Source organism: Homo sapiens, chromosome 3 (genome assembly GCF_000001405.40).
Source record: "Homo sapiens chromosome 3, GRCh38.p14 Primary Assembly".
NCBI lineage: Eukaryota > Metazoa > Chordata > Mammalia > Primates > Hominidae > Homo > Homo sapiens.
Window position 1 is genome coordinate 165,827,870 of NC_000003.12, and position 12,182 is coordinate 165,840,051.

The 12,182-nt window shown below is 32.7% G+C and overlaps 1 protein-coding gene across 3 annotated transcripts in view, besides 1 other annotated feature; it reads right to left on the minus strand.

Moving 5' to 3' along the window:
- Positions 1-9,554, minus strand: part of BCHE (butyrylcholinesterase) — a 64,520-nt gene extending 54,966 nt beyond the window's left edge. For 2 of the 3 annotated variants that reach the window (NR_137636.2, NM_000055.4), the window contains exons 1-2: positions 9,445-9,554; positions 1,648-3,172 (exon numbers count right to left, since the gene is read on the minus strand). Coding sequence is in view for 1 of the 3 variants with exons in the window: in NM_000055.4 (NP_000046.1) it covers positions 1,648-3,164 (1,517 nt within the window). In the remaining 2 variants the exon portion in view is untranslated. The remainder of the gene's footprint in view (positions 1-1,647; positions 3,173-9,444) is intronic. The other variant, NR_137635.2, reaches the window with a different exon arrangement.
- Positions 9,372-9,666: an enhancer, noted in NCBI's record as "tiled region #7963; HepG2 Activating non-DNase unmatched - State 24:Quies, and K562 Activating non-DNase unmatched - State 24:Quies". NCBI's record gives its function as "activates a minimal TATA promoter and a strong SV40 promoter by Sharpr-MPRA in HepG2 and K562 cells {active_cell/tissue: HepG2 | K562}" and the evidence as "EXISTENCE:reporter gene assay evidence [ECO:0000049][PMID:27701403]".

Here is a 12,182-nt window from a genome sequence, read left to right on the forward strand (position 1 = left end):
GGGTAATATAATAACCCACATATCTTGAAAAGGCAATATAATATTTTTTACTCATACTATCTTTTACCAGCTCTCATTCAATCATTAGCCAAATATTTGTTAAATATGATACATACCCATCATAGTACTTCAATGAATATCAAATCAAAACCACAGGTTCTGTTTCAAGAACGTAGTTTAGTATGGTTGAGGAAGAACAGCTTACAATGAAAGAGGAAATAGACAAGTTACAGTCAACTTCTGTGAGAGTGAACAAGAAGTCTGAAGCAATTGCAACTCTAGGAATTAAAGAAATGTTGCATGAGATGTGTAGTAGATTAAGACCTTAAAAAAGTAGGACTTTGTCATTAAAGAGGAAAGAGGTAGGTGTTCTAAACAGGGCACATTGAGAGAAGAAAGTTCTAAGGTGCAGTTAAACTCAGAATCTTTGGTATTAGTGAGATAACTGGCTTACCCAGAACCTGGTGTTACTGAGTAATGTGAGTTGCAGCAAGATTACAGAGGCCTTTTAATGCTAGGTGGAAGAATTATAACTTTATCCACAGTGAATAAGTATTAAACCATTTTGAAAAGAATTGTACAACTGATATTGTAGAAACATACATACAGTAACATGAAATACAAAGAATTCCAAATGGAGGGTGGAAAAGAACACCAGAAAGCAATAATGTAACTATCGGCATTTTGTTTAGTTATAAAAGATAGTGTGATAGACTGAATTACTGAATCAATCAACTTATGATTTATGTAAACATTTCTTGTATAAGTAAATTTCTAAATTTCTATTTTTTTTAAATTATTCACATTGGTGCAATTTACTCCCATGTATAAAATGTGGTTTTGGTTTACAAATGTAGTGGGAGAAAAAAAAACTACTTTATTTTCTATAGATACACATACATATTTAGAAAATATATTCTAAATGGTTATTTTTTCTGACTCTTTTGGACATACTATCACAATACTTATAATATATGGGGGAAATATGTTTTTTGTAATGTCTCTGATTATCTAATGTCAGCCATAAGACTGCTCAGGTGGAGAACGGCTTAGCTAAAACCTCATGGCCCCAGTCAAACACAGGCTGCCTCAAATCTGATCAGGCCTATTAGGAAAAAAAGAAAAACCAAACAATACAATGGCAAATGTATATTTTGGGTAAACTGAGGGCCAACTGCATCACCATCATGTCCCTTCAATTTCCTAAGCAGAGATACATTACTTCATGTATCAGGTATCATGGTACCAAGCTGAAGAGCTTGGGAAGAAATAGTCCTACTCTGACGTAAATCTGTGAACATTGTAAACTTGCAGGTTAAAAAGTATTCTCACATTAATTTTAGTTCTCCAACTAAGCATCTTTTTCTATAAAAACTTTGGCTAACATTGTTGAAATACTTTGAAATATTTTGGAGATGAAATCAGAAGATATTTTTTATAAAATTTCTAAGATGATGATTTAAACACTCTGACACAGGGAGTTGAAATGCAGTTCATAAGAAAAAATAAAACCAGCTTTGGTACAAATAGAACAAATAATTAAAACATTTCTGTGTCTTTATACTAAAGTCTACCCCAGAGACCAAGCAAAGCTAAGCAAAACGGATCAAACCAAGCCAGAGAACAATGACAAAAATCAGCACTTACCCATATTTTGCAAAATTTGCCCACCGTTTCACTATGGATCTACTCAAAATTTCCTCGGCTTTTGTGTAATTATCTCTTCTTTCCAGAGGTAAACCAAAGACAAATTCAATTTCATAGCCATGCATCACTCCCATCCATTCTGGCCACGGAAGTTTGGAGGATCGGTGTTCAAAATAGTAGAAAAAGGCATTATTTCCCCATTCTGAGAACTTCTTGGTGAACTCCAAGGCAGGGCATATGAAATTATAATCCCCAACAACATCACCCAAGGCCTCACGGTAGTTTTCAGGTCTCTGATCATCTACCCAGTCTGTGTAATGAAAAAGGATGGATTCCTTTCCAAACTCACTCACTCCTGGAAAAAATATTTTTAAACCTTCCTGAAATTCTTTTCTAGTTATGATACTATTGTTATCTTTGCTGAAGCCAGGAGCACCATAGACTAAAAAAGCTGTCCCTTCATCTTTATTAACACCCACCAAAATCTGGGTTTTTTTAAATTGTCCAAGTTCAAGTAATATGTCTGGCATGTCAGTGAGAAAATCACCATCCACGGTCGGACCAAAGTTTACTGACAAAGGAGTCCCATAGGGGACAACAAATGCTTCATTCAGAAGAATTTCTTGGGGATCTTTATTTCTAAGACACTTGATTATTTCAGTCTCATTCTCTCTAGAGCAACCAGTCAATTTAGCTAAGTTCAACGTTCTGTTCCTAGCTTCATAAAGAGATGTTACCGCCCAAGGAGCATTAAAGGATCCACTTTGCAGAATGGCTCTGGTGAACAATGAATGGCTTCCAGGAGAAAGCAAATGCAGGCTAACTGAAGCTGCTCCTGCACTTTCTCCAAAGAGAGTTACACTTTTAGGATTTCCACCAAAGGCTGCTATATTTTTTTGAACCCACTGAAGAGCCAACTGTTGATCAAATAAACCCATGTTCCCTGGAGCCTCAGGATTTCCTGGCAAAGCTAAGAATCCTAGGGCACCCACCCTATAGTTCATTGACACTACAATAACTCTTTCAACCCGAGCCAGAAACTTGCCATCATAAACATGTAAAGATGATGTTCCAGTTTGAAAACCACCACCATAAATCCATATCAATACAGTGGCATTTTTTGGTTTAGGTGCTGGAATCCATACATTTAGATATAAACAGTCTTCACTGAGGTCAGTGTTTGGGTTCCACATCTCTGATCCATGGAAGCCTGGAAAACTTTGATCTATGTTCTGACAGCAAGAATTTGCATATTTTGTGGCATTCCAAATATCAGACCACTTGGTCAGAGACTGTGGCTTTTTGAATCGAAGTCTACCAAGAGGTGGCTGTGCATAGGGAATTCCAAGAAAGGCTGTTACCGTGCCACCAAAAACTGTCAAGTTCATCCCTCTGACTTTTCCATTCTTTGTTGCAATTATGATGTCATCTTCAGTATGTGACTTCCCAATAAGCATGCAGAGCAAAAGAAACCAAAAGAGAAATCTGATGCATATGATTGTGACTTTGCTATGCATATTGATTTCTGAAAGAGAGGTAAGTATAATGTTTTATAAGCCTTCTGCATATAGCATATTATACTTTATTGATGATAATTACCTAAAATATAGTCGTTAGTAATTCTACAAATTATGAAAACAAATAAACCTGCTTCTGTAAAGGCCTACATAGGAAAAAATAGAAAACAGAGATATTTTAGTTTTCAATTTAGAAAAAAAAATAGTGGAATGGAAAATAAAAAATATTCATTTTAGGGATATTTATTGTCAAATCTTTGTAAGGAAGAGCTAGTATTTTAAATAGAATGTTTGTCCTAGCCAAATTTAATGTTACTTCTGACTATATGTACAGCTCCACCAAAAAAGCAGTAAACAGTAGTCTACCTACATCAGATATAATTTCTGCCTTGGTAAGAGGAGAAAATACAAGTTCATATATTCTCTGAAATATCATGACTGGCTGGTTCTTGGCAGAATTGTTAAGTAGGTTAAGAACTTTTAAGGATCAATAGATTGTCATTATTGTCCTTTTCTGTTTTCCTTGTCTTTTCTGTGGTCCCTTTTGCCAAGTGACATCTTCCTCTATACAATCCTATTATACAAACTGAAGAGAATTTAGACAATTTATTCACAGAATATTAAGTAACAAATATATGGTAGTCACCATTTATTCTACAAATTGTAAAAACTAACAAACATGCTACCACTAGTAAGGGCTATGGAAAAAATAAAGAGCGAAGGCTGAGGATATATTCCAGGTAATTTCTCCAAAATTTAATAAACATGAGGGACTCTTTACCAGATTTATAATGTCAATAGAGAGAACCAGGGGCTAGCATTATAATGTCTGGGAGAAGATTGTGGCTTAAGAGGAATTTTATACTCAGTATTACTCAATATGTATTCATATTTGTTATAGCAATTTGTTAACAGATTAAAGTATATGCAACTAGTGAAGCTAAATGTGTTAGCACAGTCAGAATTATTTGCATTTTTTATAATGAAAAAAATGACTGAAATTAGAGGATCAAAGCTTAGAAACTATTGGGCCACATGGCAGAAGCAAAAATAATCTTTGTGACCTACAAAATCATAAGTATTTGACATTTATGAAATAATATTTAATGGATGACATAGACTATTAGAAGAGATCTAAGTTTTATCAGAAATTCATAATGCAGATGTGAGTTTCTTTTCAATAAAAAAGAAATTAAAAATCAGATTTGGAAACTCTGTGACAAAGAGGGACAGCAAAATGTGATGCAAATATCATTTAAATGAACTAATGTCTCTTTTGAGATGGAGTCTCACTCTGTCGCCAAGCTAGAGTGCAGTGGTGTGATCTCGGCTCACTGCAACCTCTGCCTCCTGGGCTCAAGTGATTCTTCTGCCTCAGCCTCCCAAGTAGCTGGGATTACAGGTGTATGGCACCACACCCAGGTAATTTTTGTATTTTAGTAGAGATGGGGTTTTACCATGTTGGCCAGGCTGGTCTCGAACTCCTGACCTCAAGTGATCCACTTACCTCGGCCTCCCAAAGAGCTGGGATTACAGGCATGAGCCACCGCGCCCGGCCATAGAAGAACTAATGTGTTTATATAACTAAAATAGTCAATTACAAATACTGATTCTCATTCACATAATAATAACAAAGATCCATTAATGTACAAAGCCTTCCCTTTATTTTTTCTCATGCTGTAATTAGGTTGCTGAAATCCAACCTACACAACCAATAAACGAATCCTACAAATACTAAGCATTTGTATTAGTTTTGTCTTTGTTTATTTAATTTAGATTTTCTCAAAGAAAGAGAATAAATAACTATTCTAATGCCTATGTCCCAGACGTAGGGTATCATATTTCAAATCAGCCTAATTCACCAATGGTCATAGGATATCTAGTGACCTACAAGTATTTTTTATCCCAATAAATATCTCAATTTATTAATCCATGGTCTGGAGCATTTGGTTCAGGGCTTGATACTTAATGGATATATCTATTTCTATATCTAATTCTAACAATATTCATATGTATATGCATATATATTTACATATAAAATGACTGCTATAATAATAAGGTTTTAAAAAAATCAAGCCACAAGATTATTATTTTTTCAGTTCTGTTTGGTACAATTAGATGTGTGCTAAGATCAATAAAACATAATTAAAATATATTTTTAGCAGCATTTCTACATTCATGATATTTAGGTACTATTATATATAATTTAGGTACTATTATATAATGTATCCTTGTCATATGCCATTTATTGACAGGGATACATTCTAAGAAATGCATTGTTAGGCGATCTAATCATTGTGCACACATTATAAGTGTACTCACGCAAACTTAGATGCCATAGCCTACCACACCTTTAGGCTATATGGTATAGGCTGTTGCATCTAGGCTACAAATCTGTATAACATGTTCCTGAATACTGTAGGCAATTGTTAGAAAATGGTAACTGTATGTGTATGTAAACAGAGAAAAGGTACAGTGAAAATACTATATTATAATTGTATAAGACCACCATTATTGATTGAAGCATCATTATGTATTGTATGACTGTATCATAAATCACAGTAAATAAATAAGTAAAATATAACAATGACTTAAAGTTTCCTGTTACCTGACACTAATAACATTTCAGACATAATCAAAGTTTTAGAGGCACTCTACTGCTTCAGTTCTTTTTTCTTTCTGATAACCGCTAATCCTTTTCTCTTTAATAAATGCAGGAGAGCATCTGGAGAAAAACAAAGTGCTAGTATGATTTTTTTTATTTTCTGTTTTGAAAACATCCTCTGGGAAGAAAAAGTGAATAAGGTGCAAAGCTGATTGGGCGGTTCGTTCTAAGCTGCAATTTAATAAATTAATTGCATCATCCCTGGTTGTACCCATTCTCCCTCTTGCCTAGCTCAGTCAATGTTCTTCTAAGTCTAATGCAAAAGCCATCTATTTTTTCCTTGATTTTATTTGAATATTAGTTTGTCTTTAGAAACCAAACACCAAATTGAAATAAATTTTGGTCTCTGATAGTTTTCAAACTTGTTCTACAAACAGTTTATATTATTGCAAAGCAAGTACTATAGTTGCTACAAAACTGTATTTGTGTTTTGTGTAATTATGAAATGTGATGTTTCATTGTTTATGTTAAACAGTTGCTATAACATCTAAATGGTTGTAATATCTTCCCATGTCACTTAACTTGATTTAATACAAAATTTATTATATGTTGATATTTATATTTTATGCTGAGTAGGTCTTGTTATATAATAATATGGTATGAATTAAAATCTTTAATTTTTCGATAATGATATCTGAGTTATCAACTTGCAAATAATGTAATTGGTAACAATCAAAGCAATTCTTGTAAGCATGCATTCATTGCAAAAATGACAATATAATGCTAACTCATATGTATTGTTGCAGAGTGTCATATGACATATTATTTAATGTGTACTTTAATATAAAAATATGCAGATGTTCATATACTGTTAGTGTATTGTAGGCTAATGTTTTTATATTTAATTGCAGTACTTTATTTTTTAAATAAGCATCACTTTGCCCTTTTTATAATCTGGTATTATCTATTCTAACATGCTACTCTGTAGTTTTGCCATTAAAAGACTTTAAAAATTTTGATATGTTTATCATGTAATTGAGCAATCGAAAGAGAAATAAATGAAAATAGAATAAAAATATTGAGTCTATATCTCAAAATTTTTATTAATGATTAGGATATTCAACAAAACATTATCGTTTTTCTTTTTTTTAATTTTATTATTATTATACTTTAAGTTTTAGGGTACATGTGCACAACGTGCAGGTTTGATCGTTTTTCTTTTAATAAATTCTGGTGCAATTGGATACTGTCTCACATGATTCTGAGAGAACATAGTAGCATAAACATTATCATAAAAATGGGGCACATTTTCACAAATACAGCTGTGTATCTGAATTTAGATCAATTTGCTTATCAAAATAGTATTTAATATTGGAAATAAAGACAGGAGTTTTTGTTTGGAATTCAGACCATTCTAGTTTTTGAGGAATTGAGTTTTTGAGGAATTTGAGTTTTTGAGGAACTGAGTTTTTGTTTGGAATTAAGAAAATTTACTGGCAATTTTTGAAAATGCTAAACTGTTATAACAATAACTTTCAAATAAAAAAGGTGACAAATCTTTTTTTGTATTTTTAATTCAATTTTGAAAGTACTATTAATATTCCCTAGCTGATTTTAACAAAAAATACTAAATGTTATACTATAAGATGTGAGTGTGATAAAATAATTTGTATAAAGAGCTATTTTTTGGGATACTTGAATATCAACCAGATTTTCAAAATAAGGGACAAGCCAAGAATTTTTAAAAGATGTTCAAGCAAATATTCAAAATATTTTCCCTGTGTATAATTTCCCTATCTTTTAAAAAGTTACAATTAAATAAATATTTATTTCTACTTGGAAATAAACCCTCTTAAAATGGTAGAGAAAGAGCCATCTAGATAATATTAATATGATCTAGAACAAGCTCTCTTAAATGTATTTGAAGAAATTGGAACAACGACGTCTTTATATCAAACTTAAAAAGCTTGTTTTGTTGCAGACTAAGTGAAGTGGGGAATTGAGGAAGTCTGATTATAAATAGACTACATCACTGTCTTTCAGGGATTCTTCAGCTATGCTTTAGGCATGTATACATATAGAAGACACTACATTAGATATAAGAAACTTAAGATGTTTTATCTGTCCTCAATTAGGAAGAACATTTGCAAACTTCATTGTGTGAATAATTTGAACATTTATTAGAGAGATTTCTTGAGTCTTCTCTGAAAATTAAATCTCCTCTTAGGTTGCTATCTATTCAATTACAATTCTCTTAACATCTGGGACCGTCTAATTTTGGTAAGAATGAGCAGATGCTGGCAAGAAACCATCGAAATGAAGATAATATTCAATGTAAATATATATTATACTTATCAAGAAATGACTCGAAGAAGGAACCAAATTTATAGATAAGATGTGACTTGTTTAGCTATTAGTAGCTTATGTTTTATAAAAATGAAATATGGAATACATCCCAAACATATTTTTACAATTAAAAAACTAGGACAATACAAACAAACAACAACAACAAAAAATTAGGAGAACAAAACAGAACTTTGATAACCCAATTAGAAATTTATTTGGCATCCAAAAGACTACTTTATTTTATATCCAGAGAAAATTCTGAAGATTTTTATTCAAATGTTAAAGTCACACTTTAAAAGCTCACGCTTATCCTTAAACAAAGTAACTACTTATATAAGTAAACTGTCATTGTATTTATTGTAACTATGAGATAGTTTATATTAAGGAAGGCATTACACAGACTAGTGACAGGAGCTCCTAATTGAGTTTATTATCATGAAATATATTCATAAAAATGTAGAAGACATACTCATAAAATAAAAATATATAATAAATAGAAATCATAAACAATGAAATCACATTTCAGTTTACTTTTAGTCATTCATAGATTTTATAATCCTTAATATTTAATTCCCTGGTTAAAGTGGAACTGATGTTATCAAAATAATAGTTTTACAAGATTATAGGATGAGCAGAAAGTACATTTGCTTACTATTTCTATAATAGTAAAATAATAGCAAATGTAAAATATTTTGCTACAATTTAAACAAACATATAAAAAGTGAACACAAAGGGCAAAGGGGACACGCTCATAAATCACTGTAAATCAAATTAGAAAACAGGTTTTGTTTTTATTTACATAAAATAAACAGACCTCTCATTTGCCAGTTGTTACTGTTAAAGTTTTAGGTGACAAAATGTTGATTGAGAAAAGTATTTTGTTCAGGAAAAAGTAAGTTAACTACTAACTTTATCCCATTTAAAAAGAAAAAAAAAGGAAGACTAATCAAAGATTACTTTTACAGAGAGATTCAATAAACAATGCATTTAAGGGTAAGCCAGTATGAAATGTTTTTTCTTAGGAAACTCACTAAGAATATATATCACAGTGATTCCACACGTGCTATGGTCCTTTATACAGAGTTGAATAAATTCATTATTTTCTCAGCAGTTAAATAAACAAAGTCTGCGTTCCCTGAATAATAGGAAGATTTGATGCATGTGCCTGCTGGCTCACTTCCTCTGTCCCATTTGCAAGCTTCAGTAACTGTTCCCCACAGAGCACCAAAGGGACACAACAAACACATGAAGAGATCACTCTCATCCCACAGAATGAGCTTTACAGTAACTTGGATCTCTACACGAAGGTGTAAATTCAGAGCAACTTACCCGATTCTCTGCAACAAAGATGGCAAAGTTTGCAAGGAGTGAAAATCATGTAATACTTCGGGGAAATGCAGGATGCAGCTGCTGCTCCAGCCTGTAAATTGGACTGCACTGACATTCAGTGTTACTGAATGTAACAATCAACTGTTACTGACAAAGCTCGCGAGAGTTGGCAGCAGCAACTTGAAATCTGTTCAGAGGCTAATGGTATAAATGCAATAGTGATTCATTTACAGAAGTATTACAGGATTCATGCTTTACAATTGCAGGTAGTCTTCTAAGAATGAAGAAAAAAAGCATAGAAGATTCTTTAACTAAAATAATCTGAAATGTAACAGAAAATGCATGTTTCTTTTAACTCTAAACTTTAAAAAAATTTTCCTTTTTTTAAGAATATACATATTTCCTATGCTTGTCTTAAGATTTAAAGACGTATACATCATTCTAAAGTAGTGCTATTATTGAAATCCATTATAGCTTCAATCTGTGCTAATTATATAGTTAGAGAAGATAGTAATATAGAAAATAAGAAACACAATGCTCTAGATATAAGCTATGCAAATCAAAAACTTAGTTCTATTAACTGAATGGATGTCTCTGATATGTATCTCCTTTCAACCCCCACACTTCAACACTTATTTAAGTCATACAAATTTCAGCATTGGTAATTTCCTATTCAGAAGACCCTGCAGGCAGTCATACATGATGAGAAGCCACAATTTTCTGGTCAAGACAGGAAAAATAAAATGAATAACCTTCACCAAACTCTATAAAAGAGACACATTTGTCAACTTGCAGTGCACATGCTCTGGAGAATATATTTATGTCTTTGGCGCTTATCTTTCTTGAAATGATGTTCAGGAAAATAATTTTTTAAAAAACCTTTGATAAACTCCTTAATCCCTATCTTCTCAATGCAATATATTCTTAATCTTCTGTAAGTGATAGCTTTCACTTTTGAATCTCTTACTTGTGGGCTTTCTATGGACTAAACAGAAGGCATGTATTAATATTTGCAGGTGAGCACTTTTTTGCCTTTTAATAGAGTGTTAAATTTTCAAACAAGCAAATATAATTAGCATTTGTTGTAATTCTACCTTATGCCAGTCATTATAATTGACAATTTATATTAAATATTTTATATTATTTCAGCAAATATGAGAGTTAATATTATTAACCACCTCATCAGATGAGAAAGCTAAGGTTTCTACAAATCAGAAGCTTACTATATTTCTTACCACTAGTAGCTGTTGGAAAACAGAATTTTAATCTGTATTATTCTGTTATTTTATGTCAACTGCTTCCAAGAGAATAACCATTTTGGTCTTTTAAAATTATCTTTTCTGTGAAAATTGCTACTTAGGCAGTGTTAATTCAATGATAAATATCATGATCACAATAATTTATAATGTATTTAGAATATAGTTTATGTAATAACAAGTTAGTTACACAAAAGGTACAGAATACATAATCTATCTGAAAAGGAGAAAAAGGAGGTGGAGCACAGTGGTTCATGACTGTAATCCCAACATTTTAGGAGGCCTAAGTGGGCGGATTGCTTCAGTCTGGGAGTTCAAGACAAGTCTGGACAACATAGCAAAACTCAATTTCTGCAAGAAAATGGGTCAGACATGGTGGTGCAAGCCTACATTCCCAGTTACTTGGGAGGTAGCTGAGGTAAGAGTATCACCTGAGCCTAGGAGGTCGAGGCTGCAAGCCACGATTGTGCCACTGCACTTCATCGTGGGTGACAGAGTGAGATCCTGTCTCAAAAAAAAATTAATCAATAAATCAATAAAAGCAGGAAAAGGCTTTTTAAATGGAAGTATATTGACAAATTTGCAATGGTTTTTATAGTGATGGCATTTCTGTTTAAAATATAGTAAATCTGATGTTCCACATGAGAGTTCATGGGTTCAATATACATGATTTTTAAAAATCCAAATGTCAAAATTCTTCTCTCCAACCCAAGTCCACTGCATTGTTTCCTGTGCTAGCATAAGGTCAGCCTATCAAACGCGGCAATTATTAAGGAATATTTTGTGACGTTAGTGAATTCAGCAAAGCATTTTACATGCTTCCTGCATCTACTCACTGCTAGGTAAAATATGTCACATATATACACATATTTCATTTTCATCTTTAAACAGGAAGCCAAACAATAAAATAATTGGTTTCAAGCAGATCTTTATCTTTAACGCATGTTTAAACTGGCTAACTAGCAACATCAACTGATTACACAAGTTGGCAATTTTTCTTCTTCTCAATGTCTTTACTTCAAAGAACCACCTTCTGTTACTGTCCCTGTAGTTCTTTTCCTCGCATGATTTCACAGCTATGCCACATTAGTTCATTCATTATTTTAGTGCACCTCTAAAGCATTTATTCTTCCTGTCTTGAGAGTTTCTTCCTTGTGGCTCAACTTACAGCAGCTGCTTTGCTTCTGTGGTGTCATCATTTTCTCACACTCATCCAGCGGAAGGATGTAGGTCACACACAGTGAGCTTGTTTCAGGGTTAGTAGGGAAGCACTATTCCATTACATCACAGCATGGATGGTTAATGATCCTGCTGTTAAATGTTGAGTATGCCTTGTAAGCGACACTGATGAAATACCACAAGACACTTGACACGGCATTAACACTGCGCACATTTTGCAACCATATATGCTGAAGCTTGGGCAGGACAATCATTATGGTTTTGGCTCTATGATCACTTTCAGTTAGCCAGTCACAGTGGTTT